The sequence below is a fragment of the Homo sapiens genome, chromosome X (genome assembly GCF_000001405.40).
Source record: "Homo sapiens chromosome X, GRCh38.p14 Primary Assembly".
Taxonomy (NCBI): Eukaryota; Metazoa; Chordata; class Mammalia; order Primates; family Hominidae; genus Homo; species Homo sapiens.
This window is the reverse complement of record NC_000023.11, coordinates 135,299,753-135,315,148: the sequence shown is the minus strand read 5'-3', so window position 1 is coordinate 135,315,148 and position 15,396 is coordinate 135,299,753. Positions and strand designations below refer to the sequence as shown.

Below are 15,396 nucleotides of genomic sequence, written 5' to 3'. Positions count from 1 at the left end.
ATGAAAATAAAATAAAGCATAACAACACCTGTGGAATACAACAAAAGCAGTGGTAAGAGAGAAATTTATAACAATAAAGGCTACATTGAAAAAATAGATTTCAAATTATCAAACAATGCACCTCAAGGAACTATCAAATTAAGAACAGACCCAAAATTAGAAGTAAAGAAACTTAAACTATCAGAGCAGAATTAAGTGGAGACTAGAAACAATAGAAAAGACCAATTAAATGAAAAGTTGGTTGATAAACAAAATTGATAAACCACTAGCTAGAATAATCAAGAAGAGAGAAGACCCAAATAAATAAAATCAGAAATGAAAAAGGAGGCATTACAATTGATACCACAGAAATACAAAAGATCATCATAGTATTATGAACACCTATATGCTCATAAACGGGAAAACCTAGAGGGAATTGGTAAATTCCTGGAAACATACAACCTGCCCAGCTTGAATCAGGAAGAGAGAAAGCCTGAACAGACCAATAACAAGTAGTAACATTAAATCACTAGTAAAAAATCTCCCAACAAAGAAAAGTCTGGGGTTGGATAGGTTCATTGCTGAATTCTACCAAATACGTAAAGAAGCAATACCAATCCTTCTCAAACTATTAAGAGAAGGGAATTCTCCCTAACTCATTCTACAAGGCCAGAATTACCCTGATACCCAAACCAGACAAGGGCATAGTAAAAAAGAAAACTATAAGCTAATATCCCTGATGAGCATAGACACAAATATCCTCAACAAAATACTAGCAAACTGAATTCAACAGCACATCAAAAAAGATAATACACCATGATCAAGTGGGAGTTATAACAGGAAATGTAAGGATGGTTTAACATATACAAATCAATAAATGTGATACATCATATGAACAGAATGGAGAACAATAACTATATTATCATCTTGATAGATGCAGAAAAAAACATTTGATAAGACTCAACATCCCTTTACGATAAAAACTCACAACAAACTGTGCATGGAGGGAGCATATCTCAAAACAATAAACGCTATATATGACAAAACCACAGGTAAGATCATACTTCATGGGGAAAAGTTGGAAGCCTTTCCTCTAAGAACTGGAACAAGTTAAGGATGCCCATTTTCATGACTCGTATTCAACACAGCACTGGAAGTCCAAGCCAGAGCAATCATGCAAGAGAAAGAAATAAAACACACCCAAATTTGAAAAGAGGAAGCCAAACTGTTCCTCTTTGCAGGTGACATGATCTTATATTTAGAAAAATTAAAAGACTCCACCAATAAACTCTTAGAGCTGATAAACAAATGTGATAAAGTTGCAGGATACAAAATCAACATATGAAAATCAGTACTGTTTCTGTACTCCAATAATGAAATAGCTGAAAAAGAAAGCAAGAAGACAATACCACTTCCATTAGCTACAAAAATATAAAATACCTAGGAATAAATTTAACCAGGGAGATGAAAGATTTCTGCAAGGAAAACTACAAAGCACTACAAAACACTGATGAAGGAAATTGAAGAGGACACAAACAAATGGAAAGACATTCCATGCTCATGGATCAGAAGAATTTGTATTGTTAAAATAACCATATTGCCCAAAGCAATCTACTGATTCAAAACGCTAATGCCATTTTTTTCACAGAAATAGAAAAAATTATCCTAAAATTCATATGGAACAACAACAACAAAAAAAGCCAGAATAGCCAAAGCAAACCTAAACACAAAGAATAAAGCTGGAAGCAACACACTACTGGACTTCAAAATACATTACAAGTCTATGGTAACAAATACAATATAGAATTAGTATAAAAATAGCCACTTAGACCAATGTATAGAGAACTCTGAGATAAATTCATATATTTACAGCCCACTGATTTTCAACAAAGGCACCAACAACATGCACTGAGGAAATGACACCCTCTTTAATAAATGGTGCTGGGAAAGTTGGATATCCATATGTGCAGTAAGGAAATTAGACCCCTACCTCTAACCATATACAAAAATCAACTCAAGATGGATTAAAGACTTAAGACCCAAAACTATTAAACTAGTAGAAGAAAACATAGGGAAAAATCTTCAGGACATTGGCATAAGTGAAGATTTTATGGCTAAGGCTTCAAAAGCACAGACAACTAAAGCAAAAAGAGACAAAAAGGACTATATCAAACTAAAAATCTGCATAGCAAAGGAAACAATCCATTGAGTGGAGAGATAACCTGCTGAATGGGTAAAAATGTGTGCAAACTATTCATCTGATAAGGGATTAATATTCAGAATATACCAGAAACTCAAGTCAAGAATAATAAAACAAATAATCCCATTAAAAAGTGGGCAAATGCCATAAATGGACAATTCTCAAAAGAAGACATACAAATGGCCAACAGGTATACGAAAAAAGTACTCAACATCACTAAATATCAGGGAAATGCAAATCAAAACCACGATGAGATACCATCTTACCCCAGTTTGAATGGCTACTATTAAAAGACAAAAAAAAAAAAAAGTCACAGATGCTGGCAAGGATGTGGAGAAAAGAGAACTCATACACTTTTTTGGGAATGGAAATTAGTACAAACACAATGAAAAACAGTATAAAGATTTCTCAAAAAAACTAAAAATATATCTACTATATGATCTGGCAATCCCACTACTGAGTGTCTATCCAAAGGAAAAGAAATCTGTATGTCAAAGGGATACCTGCACTCGCATGTTTATCACAGCACTATTTACAATAGCAAAGATATGGAATCAATCTAGGTGTCCATCAGTGGATGAGTGGAAAAAGAAAATGTAGTGTATATACACCCATGGAATACTATTTGGCCATAAAAAATTCCGCAATCCATGTTGCAGCAACATGGATGGAATTGGAGGTGATTATGTTAAGTGAAATGAGCCAGGTACAGAAAGGCAATTATTTCATGTTCTCACTCATGTATGATAGCTAAAAACGTTGATCTCATAGAGGGAGAGAATGGAATAATAGATACCAGAGTCTGGGAAGGGTGTGTTGGTAGGAAGTATAAAGAGAAGTTGGTTAATGGGTACAAACATACAGGTAGATGGAAGGGATAAGTTCTAATGTTTGATAACAAAGTAAGGCGACTATAGTTAACATCAAATGTACTATGGATTCCAAAATAGCTGGGAGAGAGAACTTGGTATGTTCCCAACAGATAGAAATGATAAATACTTGAAGAGATGGACACCCCAAATACCCTTACTTGATCATTACATAGTCCATGCTTGTAACAAAATAACACATGTATCCCATAAACAGGTACAAAATTATCAATAAAAAATCAAGCCATGTCCTGAATGGACCTAGGGGACATTTTGCTAAGTGAAATGAGCCAGGCACAGAAAAGGCAAATACTTCATGATCTCCCTTCTATGTGGAGTCTAAAAAGTTGAACCCATAGAAGCAGAGAAGATAATGGTGGCTGCCAGGGCCTGGAACAGTGAGGGGAGATGTTGGTCAAAGAATACAAAATTTCAGTTAGAAAGGAGAAACAAGTTCAACAGATCTGTTGTTAAACATGTTAACTACAGCTAGTAACTAACTGTATTGTATTCTTGAAAACTGATAAAAGAGTAGATTTTAAGTGTTCTCACCATACACAAAAAAATGATAAGCATATAATGTAATGATAAGCATATAATTAGCTTAATTTAGCCATTTCACAATGTATACACATTTCAAAGCATGATGTTGGACATGACACAATTTTTATTTATCAATGAAAAATGAATTAATTTAAAAGATCAGGCCATTTCCCACTGTGGGTTAGAGTCTACACCCAGCTCTCCTTCCTGACTGCCTTACAGCTGTCAGCTGCTGATTGCACCCTCAGAGTCTCAGCCTTCTTCACCATGCTTTGCTGGCTCACTTCTCAGTTCATTCACTCTTCTCAGCGATTTTGTCTACTGCCATGTGTTACAAGGCCTGAAATTCCATGTGCTGCCTTGGCATAATTGAGCCTCACAGGGCATCAAAGGCCTAGCCACGATTTTCCCTGCTCTCATCAGATATGCTCCCTACCAAGTGGGAAAAGCTCACCCAGCTACATCCCCTATCAGCCAGATCAGCTGCATATCCCCTGGTATTCAACCAAAAAGACTGATTCTCTACCAGCTGGTACAGCCACTGTTTGATCCTGAACTGCAGCAAAATAGTAACCAACAGAGGAGTATCCAGGCAGCTTTCCCACCAAGAGTGCACCCAAGAGGCCCCTCTACCTGGATGTCCTCTAAACCCTCCCCTTCCAACCTACAGTCAGTTGCATCCTCTGAGGAGAGGCTTGTGGTTCTATTTTGGCAATGCTGAATCAGAGCAGGGAAAGCAAAGTTGACAGGGACAGGGAGGAGAGTTAAATGGACATAGAGGAGTTAAATTTTCTATCTAATACAGATCCAGAAGAGACCTGGCTAAGGGTAGAGAGAATAACAGCCCCTTAGATGTAGGTGGGGGAGGGGACACAGGAAGGGGACTTGGGAAATGCTGGACAGGTTGTGAGAGCACAGGGAATTGGGAAGGAGAGGTGGAGGGGACAGAAGGACTGCTTGCAGGCTTATTTTGCAGCTTACGTTAAAGGACAAGAGAAATGCTTGGAATTTGTTATGGTTTTAATGGTTCCTTTTATGTTAATTTCATCTTATTCCTAACTTAAGCTTGCCCATATCCACCATGGCTCTGACCTCTTTGCTCTCCCTGTCCCCTCTTCAGCTTTAGCTCTCACTTCTCAGTCACCAATTGTGCACATAGTTCCCATTTCAGGTTTCTTGGAGTATCTGACTTGCTCAGGATATTTCTTAGGGACAGAGGTTTTTCAATGGGAACCATCTCATATGTCTTGTTGGACTATTGGGTGGCTTCACTTCAGGAAAATTAATTATCTTTGATTGGCTGTGGCCTGAAGGTTTGTTTGACATGACACAAAAAAGCCATCAGGGCATTCCACTTTCCTGGGGACACTGAATAGAGCAGTTGCCCCTGGAAGGCTCTGTGGACATGACATCTGCAATGATGAAACATGTCCCAAACCCCCGGCCCAGCTGTTGGTCTGCTCTTAAACGATGTCTTTTCATTAGGACAGGCATTAGGTTTTAGAGAGAAACACCAGGGTGGTCTCTTCAAAATGGCTAGGGATTAGAGTCTTTGGTCCTTGAATGCCAAGTACTACATCACTTCGACTTCGCAGTGTTTTTCAGATTGATGGGGGAGATCTGGTGTGCAGCATGATCTCACTCTCTGCTCTGTGTCTGAGCACCCCTGCACTGTGCGTTAGGATGAACAAAAGCCCCTTCCAGTGTAACCCAAGTAAGCCCTGTCAGCAAACACACATCCAACCCAAAGGAGTGAAATGACAGACTCTGTTTTAATGGCTCAAACATGGGAGGAGTTTATTGTTCTAATTATAATTAATGTCTCAAAATTCTGGGCAGGCCTCAGCACATAAGCCACATGACTTTTTGTCCAAGGCCATGTTCACCCTGGAGTTGCTTTATGGCAGCATCCATAGCCACTTTGACAGGTCAGTGTCACTTCTGTTCCTGCCCAGTTGTCTGTTGATTAAAAAGACCTGCACATTTTTGGTGGGCTTCTTGCATTTGAAGGATTTGCCTGACTTCTTGATGTTCAGTGCAGGCTCACTGGGACTGGCTTTAGGGAGTTCTTTATCCATGAAGCAGCAGCCCCAAACAACCTCAGTAAAACAGCACAACCAAGGAAGCCTGAAAAAGATGATGAATTCCATGTAATCAAGTGGATCTGGGGACCTCTTCCCCACTGCCACACACCCACACACACTTTGGGCCATCATCTGATTTGAAATGCCAACCATATCATTTATTCAATCTGTCTCACACATGGGGCTGTGTAGGAGCCTGATGGGACCCGGGACATTAAGGACACACTGTTGTATCAATCTGATCATCACCTGACACACACAGACCTGTTAGATTGTACTCAAAGTGCTAGCTTATAGCTCAAGTGTCGACGTAATTCTTACATTCGCATTAATTTTAACTCAATTCTATGTTGCTGTTTTGCAGAGCTGCCTTCTTTTCACCTCTGAGTTTTCCCTGTACTTGGGATAGGGGCTTTCTTCTACTGCATTTTGTGCAGCAAGTTGAGAGAGTAGGTCTCTTTGGTAAATCTATCCATAACAAAATTCATTATTTTACATCTGTATTTCTTCATTCTACAACCTACAGGCTGCTATAATTTGTTTCCTCATTCCAAATCTCTTTATGTTACTTTAGCTTCAAATAGGATTTGCCTTCTTTGAAAATCACTGGTGACGCAGGTATGGATCTTACTCCAAACCCTTGTGTAAGAAATAAACTGGACATTCTCAGGTGCTACCTAGTTTCTGTTTCTAAGGCCCATCCTTCTGAGTTTCCATCCTGGGAACATAATCTCAGTTATTTAAAGATTGTACTCGCCTCTGATAACTGACCCAGTCTCACCCCAAAAAGTGCTGAGTGGTATTATACTTGAATCTGGCATAATGCCAAGGCTAGGGGTGGATGCCAACTGTGTTCTCTATTTTGACCTCAAGAGAGATTAAAGGACTTGCCCAAGTGATAGAAAGGTGAGATTGGAACTGAAAAAAGCCTGTATCTGAAGCCTGTGTTTTTACCCACTGCTCTATAGTTTCTCTGTATCAGTTTGAACAAATGACTCTCCCATACCTTCCCCCCCATTACCAAACAGGGTTGAGGTTTATCAGGTAGATTAGTTAGGTTATGGCACAAAAGGATGCTCTATGATCTTGGTATATCAGAATATTTTACCTGTCAGACCACTCAGGTTTCTTTTGAAGAAAGACCTGGACCAGAGAGTAAACAGTGAGAGGAAACATGACTTCTTTCCTTAGCACACTCTCTCTTTTTCCCTGAGTCCCAGGGCCTGATTGGTTCAGAACCAAGTGAAGTCACGGTTACTATGATTACTCACGACTGCTCTCAGAACGTAATGCCAACAGTCTGCAAGATTCAAATACTGACAACCATCACCTGGCTTCCTTCTGGTTCAGAGCAGAATAGGGTAAGTGGAAGTTGCTGGGAGAGGAAGTAGGTATATCTTGTGGCTGGGTGCCATCTACATGTCTCCTTCCTGGATGGGACATTCAGCTATCCTGGCCTCAGAGCTTGTCCCTGGCTTGTGCAAAATCCCTTCATTAAAATTTATCCTTTGTGTAGATTACAGCACCCACTGCATCTTGCCAGGTTCCCTGGGTAGTGATCAGCGACTTTGTCTGCCATGTTCCAATCAGGGAATTAGTGTTAGGTTGAATTTCCCATTTGCTTGTCAATCTCTGCATCCAGTTTTGGTCATGACTCTGCAATTACTCCCTCTATAATACACAGTTCATGTAAATGGAGTGTTTAGTTGCAGAAATTTAACACTGCAGTTAAACACTGCTGTGTCTCACACAACTGTGTGACCCCCTCCCAAAGCTCAGAGCAGTGGAACTCCACACTTTTATTCTGTGGACCTGGGATGCAGGTGGGCTTTTAATGCCTTGGAAAATCTTATGCTAAAACTAGACTAGTTTGTTGAGACATATGCATATGTCTCAAGCCATATTCCCTTTCAAGTATCTGATCTAGAATAACTACATTGTTACCATTAAAGTGTGACGCAGGTGGGTAGTGTCTATATGCAGGACATGGATTTTCCAGGCTGTCAGAGGGATAACGGTGAGGACAGGGCTTTGTGATTTTTATAGTGGGGTTCTCATGAGGAACTAAAATGACTGTTATGAGGAGATGTGGCTTGCCTGCACACTGGCTGCCCACTCAATCTTATGTAAGAACTGAGGAAATTGAGGTTCCTGTAAAGCGACCCAGGTCACACACTCCCTTTCTTGAGTGGCAGGGAAGGAAGGCTCAGTCCTTCAGGTTTTTTCCTAGCCCCCACAGAACCATGTAAAGACCCTGAGGCTGTGTTCAGTGTTCTAAACAATTTGCAGTGGGAAGAGAACTTATTGGTATTCAGTATTTTATTAACAAAGAAAGTGGAAAACTCTTTCTCTTAAGGAACTGACATCCTAGAAAACCATGGCAATCACCTAGGAAATAGGCCAGGAGAGGTTGATTGATAGATGTTAAATGCATAAAAGCTTTTCATACTAGGCCAGGCACAGTGGCTCACACCTATAATCCCAGCTGGATTATAGCCTCTGGAAGGCTGAGGTGGGTGGATCGCTTGAGCCCAGGAGTTCAAGACCAGTCTGGGTAACATACGGAGACCCCATCTCTAAAATAAAAATAAATGAATACATAAATTAAAAATCTGCATAGTCTTCCTTAAATAGGGAATATCATAGAAATAAAATGTCCTATTTACATTGGTTGCAAATGTTATGAAACACCTAGAAAGATGAGGACAAACACAAGGAAAACACACATGCAACTTTTTATGAGCTTCCAGTTTGAATATTCACATAACATTTTAAAATACTACATTTTTTGAAAAGGAAGATCAATTTTTGCAATGGCATCAATTCTCCTCTAAATAAATCAGTAAATCCAGTGCAATCCCAATCATAATTTATAGCACAATTTTGAGTGTATGTGTAACTGGAAGAACAGATGCAATTATACTGGAAAAAATGCGAAGGATTATGTAAGAGGGGGAGCTTGTCATTCTGGACTCAAAACTTAGTCTGTAGTATTAGCAAATGAAACAGGAATTGATAGACATGTTCATGGGCCAACAAAGATATTCTAGAAATACATTTATGCATATGTGGGACTCAAAGAAATGATATAGCTGACATTTAAAATCACAAATTGTCACAAAGCTTTTTATAATCCCGTGTGTGTGTGTGTGTGTGTGTGTGTGTGTGTGTGTGTGTGTGTGTGTATGTATCTCTGTTGTCCTGTCTTCCTGAAGCCATCTGTGGATCTGTGGAGTCAAGCAGTCATGGCTCAGGGACACTCTGAAGTCAGTCCCAGCGCATCTGCACAGAGCACCAGGAGGAAGGCAAACAAATACTTAAGACCCAGTCTGGCCTCTAAATCCATGCTGAGCATTCTGCTCAGCAGACAGCTTGGGAATCACAGAAATGATGCGAATCTGACAGAGTTGCTGTGGACACAGACGCAAACCATACCAGGGTGGAATTGGCCTTTGTTAAAACACTATGCCATTGACCCATCTCTATACCACAGGGAGCGTAGAAAATCCAGGAAAATGGTGTGGATCAATAAATCCTTCCCATAATGCAACTGTTACAAATAGAAGCTGTTTTCTCACTGCTTTTGGTTGGATGTGCCTTTTGTTCACATGGTTTCTTAACTTCTCACCTGTCTCTGCTACCCGAGACCACAACAGATGAACTCTAGCTACTCCCCTTTGAGAGAGTGTTTACTAACATTGCAGAGTCTGGGGGTGTTGGATTCAAGAGAGGCCCTGTTTAGAGAAGGTGGAAGGACGGCTGAGTGGGCACGTGGAGAAGCCCTGCAGCCCTAAATTTCTAGAGGGAGGTGACTTTAAAAGCCCACTTAGAGGTCTTGGTTTGTCTCCCTTGAAGTTTGGGGGAGGGAGTGGGTAGCTGTTATAATCAAATAAATTTAAAATGAGAGTGGCTTGCAGAGTGGGGAGGGAATTCTCGCAAGAGATATACTTCTTCAATTGAGAAAAAGAGAGAGGGAGCTAATGAGGTAACCAGAAATTCCTAGGAAAGAAAGAATCGTCTTTTGGCTGTTGGTGCAAAATAACTTTGAGCCTACAATTCTACTTCTAGCCAGACATTCAAGTGTGAGTGTAAATTAGCATACAAGGTGTTCAAATGTGGGTTCCCTAAAAATAGACCCTGAGGCACACTTATGAGTAGAAAGTGCCTATGTAGGAGGGAGTCCCAGGTAGCACTGGTAGGGGTGTTGTGAGATTTAGAAGGAATGCAGCCAATTAAGTGGCAAGAATAATCTAGCAGGTTACCAGTGTGGGCAATTTGAGCTAATTCCCAGGGGGATCCTATGGGAGACTGTGTCGGGCAATTTGAGCTAATTCCCAGGGGGATCCTATGGGAGACTGTGTCGAACCCACACCTGACATTCATCCCAAGGGTAGGATGAAAAGTCTTGAGGGTATTTAGCCACCAAATAACCAACCATACTTCTTAAAGGACTTCCCCCAGGGGTGATATAAATCTCTGTCACCTCCAGTTGGCCTTGGGTCAAGTCCAGCATGCTCTAAGGGTGAGACAAAAGGCCTCCAAGGCAGAGAGTCATGGCAATTGCCATAAGCAACCTTGTAGATGCAAAGGTGAGACATAGCTCCGCAGGGCCAGAGTCTAAATATGTAAGTCAGTGTCAGAATCTTTTTGGCACTGTCTATTCCTTAAATAAGTCAATACTCACCATTTGTGAAAATCTTCATTGAACTGGAGCTACATTTCCTCTCTATAGGTAGCATGTTTTAAATGTTTTATCAATTATCAATTTTAATTGGAAACTGGTTGTAGGAACTCTGTCCCAGAGAGTTGTGAGATGCATGGTTAGCCGTCGAAGGAACATTTGCATTGTAGACATCAAAATCTTCCCCCTGGGGAAAAGAAAGCAGGATTTTTGTAGTGTGTCCTGCTTGCAGATGTGCCATGCTGGGTGTTGGGCACAGGTCTCTCCCTGGGATTTCATGGAGATCTTTGGCTGCATTTGTCAGAAACTCTATTCTTACCATTCAGGCTACAGGGGCCCAAGTTGCAGTGTCTCACCTCTTGTTGAGAGGTTCCTCAGCACGTGGAATACAAACCTCCTCCTCTCCAGGTCTCCCATAGCAGCTGGAACTTTATTCATGTTCCTATCATTATATTCTCTATGGAATAGGATGAGTTGCTGGTTAGCTTGCTTCCACCCACCTATGCCCATCCAGGCCCACGCTCAGCACACTGTCCCCATAGTGGGTGCCCCTATCCCCAGGGATTCTTGGAAATGCTGTTCTGGGTGGTGACTCCATTTCAGCACTGACATAGTCACTGGCAGCCAGAGATGGCCTTCTCAAGCTTATGTTGGGAGTCTAGTAATGAATCCTTTTTGTTACAGTTCAGATGGGACTTGCAATGCCCAGCTCCACTGGTGTTGCTGTTTGTTTTTCTTCTATCTCCAGTCTTACAAATCAGTGATTATTGATGAAATGCTGAGAAGCTACAACTTCTGGCTGCTCTCTTTGAGCATTATGTTAGGTGACTGGGGCCTCCTGTTTGTTCTGTTTAAGGAGCCCAACTGCTTGTCCTCTGGATTAACTTTAAAAGAGTTGAATTAGACCAGGCATAGTGCCTGTTTACAGCAATGCAGGCTATAGGGGCTTAGAAAGAGGCTATACTTAAGTATATTCCTGGGAAACTTCTATACTTGTATATCCCTGAGTCTACACACCTAACTGTTGCTGGTGGGCATCTGGGGACCAACCATTAATCTGCTCCAGCTTCACAGCTGGCTAGCCCATCCCTTGTGGGGAAAAGAGAGATCAGATTGTTACTGTGTCTGTGTAGAAAGAAGTAGACATAGGAGACTCCATTTTGTTCTGTATTAAGAAAAATTCTTCTGCCTTGTGATGCTGTTAATCTGTAACCTTACCCCCAAACCTGTGCTCCCTGAAACATGTGCTGTGTCAACTCAGGGTTAAATGGATTAAGGGCTGTGCAAGATGTGCTTTGTTAAACAAATGCTTGAAGGCAGCATGCTCCTTAAGAGTCATCACCACTCCCTAATCTCAAGTACCCAGGGACACAAAACACTGTGGTAGGCCGCAGGGACCTCTGCCTAGGAAAGCCAGGTATTGTCCAAGGTTTCTCCCCATGTGATAGTCTGAAATATGGCCTCGTGGGAAGGGAAAGACCTGACCGTCCCCCAGCCCGACACCCATGAAGGGTCTGTGCTGAGGAGGATTAGTAAAAGAGGAGGGAACGCCTCTTTGCAGTTGAGACAAGAGGAAGGCATCTGTCTCCTGCCTGTCCCTGGGCAATGGAATGTCTCGGTGTAAAACCCGATTGTATATTCCACCTACTGAGATAGGGGAAAACCGCCTTGGGGCTGGAGGTGGGACATGCGGGCAGCAATACTGCTCTTTAAGGCATTGAGATGTTTATGTGTATACATATCTAAAGCACAGCACTTAATTCTTTACCTTGTTTATGATGCAGAGACCTTTGTTCACGTGTTTACCTGCTGACCTTCTCTCCACTATTATCCTATGACCCTGCCACATCCTCCTCCCCGAGAAACACCCAATAATGATGAATAAATACTAAGGGAACTCAGAGGCCGGCGGGATCCTCCGTGTGCTGAACGCTGGTCCCCTGGGCCCCTTTTTTCTTTCTCTATACTTTGTCTCTGTGTCTCTTCTTTTCCAAGTCTCTTGTTCCACCTAACAAGAAACACCCACAGGTGTGGAGGGGCAACCCACCCCTTCACTGGCTAGCCCATCCCTGACCTATGCAAAACTTTGCACCACACTATCACATTATACTCCTTCCCTTTTGTGATTTAGATCACGACTGACTACGGTTACTGTTCAAATAGAGATCACAAGGCTAATTGAATGCACTCTTTGTGGTAATAAGATACCAAATTATAAACAAAGCCTAAGGCCATGCCAGTCAAGGGTTAAGTCCCGCTCTGCTACACTTAAAGAATAAAGTATGTTCTAATTGCCACAGAACTTTTCTTTCTCTCTAGCAGCTAAACAAGCACTGCCCTAGAGATAAGCAATATTGAAACAATTGCAGCTCACTCACTTGCTGACTTACTGACCTCCACTCACCTGTTCCACAAGCCATAACTACAGCTTTTATTGGACAAGAGATGGATTTCAATAACTCTCTCCTGATAAGAGACCACTGAACATGAACTGATTCTGGCCAGTTTAAGGCTGCACACTGAATGCCTTCATATCCTTGCTTCACCTTTGATGTATAGGGCCTAAATATAATGTATTTAAATGTTAAGTCTCTGCCCCAAAGTGAACATGAGATGCATGTAACATATGTGTTTGCTTACCACACATGCACATATCCCCGCTTCATGAATAGTCATAGCTCCCAGCCACTCCAGCTCCAGCCACGGGTAAAATGGGCCAAGTTATAGCTTGAGCCATTGCTTCAGAGGGTACAAGCCCCAAGCCTTGACAGCTTCCACGTGGTGTTGGACCTGTGGGTGTACAGAAGTCAAGAATTGAGGTTTGGGAACCTCCACCTAAATTTCAGAGGATGTATGGAAATACCTGGATATCCAGGCAAAAGTCTAATTCAGGAGCAGAGCCCTCATGGAGAACCTCTGCTAGGGCAGTGCAGAAGGGAAATGTGGGGTTGGAGCCCCCATACAGAGTCCCCGCTGGGGTACTGCCTAGTGGAGCTGTGAGAAGAGGGCCACCATCCTCCAGATTCCAGAAGGGTAGATCCACCAACAGCTTGTACCGTGTGCCTGGAAAACTGCAGGCACTCAAGGCCAGCCATGGGAGACTACCCCTTTCATCAGCATGCCCTGGATATGAGACATGGAGTTAAAGGAGATTATTTCAGAGCTTTAAGATTTAATGACTACTCCAATGTGTTTGGGTCTTGCATGGGGCCTGTAGTCCCTTTGTTTTGGCCAATTTCTCCCATTAGGAATGGAAGCATTTATCCAACGCCTATATCCCCATGGTATCTTGGAAGTAATGCATTTTCTTTTGATTTTGTCTTGTCTCAGGTGAGACTTTGGACTTGGACTTTTGAGTTAATGCCGGAATGAATTAAGACTTTGGGGGACTATTGGGAAGGCATGATTGTGTTTTGAAATGTGAGGACATGAGATTTCGGAGGGGCCAGGAGTGGAATGATATGGTTTGGCTCTGTGTTCCCACCCAAATCTCATCCTGAATTGTATTCCCCACATGTCGAGGGAGGGACCTGTAATCCCCATATGTTGAGTGAGGGAAGCGATTGGATCATGGAGATGGTTTCCCCCATGCTGTTCTCGTGATAGTGAGTGAGTTCTTATGAGATCTGACAGTTTTATAAATGGCAGTTTTTCCTGCTTTCTCACTTCTCTCTTGCCACCTTGTGAATAAGGTGCCTGCTTCCCCTTCACATTCTGTCATGATGGTAAGTTTCCTGAGGCCTCCCCAGCCATGTGGAATTGTGAGTCAATTAAACTTCTTTCCTTTATAAATTACCTAGTCTCAGGTATTTCTTTATTGCAGTGTGAAAACAGACTAATACGCCTGTTGAATATTTATGCTTGGCCAACCAAGCATGCATATGGTTCAGCATAAAGCCCTGCCTCATCCTTCCCTCCCTCAAAGCGCTTGCTTTTTGTTTGCAGCCAGAGGCTGCACTTCTCTCCTGCAGGTTGTCATCCCCTACTTAAGAAATAAAGTTCTCCTTTCTAAATGGATAAATTGTGTGATTTTTTTTTTTTTTTTTGAGATGGAGTCTCACTCTGTCGCCCAGGCTGGAGTGCAGTGGTGCAATCTCGGCTCACTGCAACCTCCGCCTCCTGGGTTCAAGTGATACTCCTGCCTCAGCCTCCCGAGTAGCTGGGACTACAGGCATGTGCCACCACACCCAGCTAATTTTTTGTATTTTTAGTAGAGATGGGGTTTCACCACGTTAGCCAGGATGATCTCAATCTCCTGAACTCATGATCCACCAGCCTCAGCCTCCCAAAGTGCTAGGATTACAGGCATGAGCCACCGCACGCAGCCAAATTGTGTGATTTTTAAGTTGACACAATGAAGGTCCACTTCTGACTTTCCCCTTTTGCATAGGGTCCATTTGGCCCTGAGCTGTCAATTTCCAAGTGTGAATGCTACCTACTTTGTCCCATCACTTTATGCCTGGAAAAAAGTGCAGGGGCAAGGACAAGGGGAAGCTTTATAACATTCAGTTCATTTCCTTCTTCTGCTTCTTTGTATAAGAAAGGGCCAACTTTTGATCATTTTTTGTTCAGCTGTGACATTCTGCTGCAAAAAGAAGATTGAACACCGAATACCACATTAATATGGTATTCCTAGATGACTTATTTGCAGAAACTGACCTGTTTATCCTAAAATTCATATGGAAATTCAAGGGACCCAGAGTCTAAAACAATTTTGAAAAAGGAGAACAAAGATATAAGATTCATATTTTGTAATTTCAAAACTTACTACAAAGCAACAGTAATCTAGACAGTGTGGTATTTGCATAAGACTAGACATTTAGATCAATAGAATAGAATTGAAAGTTCAGAAACAAAGCCATACACCTTGAGTTAACTGATTTTCACCAAGGGTGCCAAAACAATTTAATAGGGAAAGAATAGTCTTTCAACAAATTATGCTAGGTCAACTGAATATCCATATGCAAAAAAAAGAAGTTGTACCTCTATCTTAGATCATACACAAAAATTAACTCAAAATGGATGAAAGATCTAAATAAA

At 41.7% G+C, this 15,396-nt stretch overlaps 2 protein-coding genes across 7 annotated transcripts in view, besides 2 other annotated features; one reads left to right on the top strand and one right to left on the bottom strand.

The window, feature by feature from the left end:
• The window catches only part of ZNF75D (zinc finger protein 75D), a 95,521-nt gene that overhangs the window by 28,961 nt on the left and 51,164 nt on the right, over positions 1-15,396 (top strand). The window lies entirely within an intron of this gene.
• Positions 5,490-5,669, bottom strand: ETDC (embryonic testis differentiation homolog C). The gene has a single exon (NM_001358449.1). It carries the CDS (start codon positions 5,667-5,669, stop codon positions 5,490-5,492), a length of 180 nt encoding a protein of 59 aa, NP_001345378.1.
• Positions 11,611-12,238: an enhancer, noted in NCBI's record as "NANOG-H3K27ac hESC enhancer chrX:134436837-134437464 (GRCh37/hg19 assembly coordinates)". NCBI's record gives its function as "activates a minimal SCP1, AML or CMV promoter by ChIP-STARR-seq in naive H9 embryonic stem cells {active_cell/tissue: H9 hESC(naive)}" and the evidence as "EXISTENCE:reporter gene assay evidence [ECO:0000049][PMID:30033119]".
• Positions 12,239-12,867: an enhancer, noted in NCBI's record as "NANOG-H3K27ac hESC enhancer chrX:134436208-134436836 (GRCh37/hg19 assembly coordinates)". NCBI's record gives its function as "activates a minimal SCP1, AML or CMV promoter by ChIP-STARR-seq in primed H9 embryonic stem cells {active_cell/tissue: H9 hESC(primed)}" and the evidence as "EXISTENCE:reporter gene assay evidence [ECO:0000049][PMID:30033119]".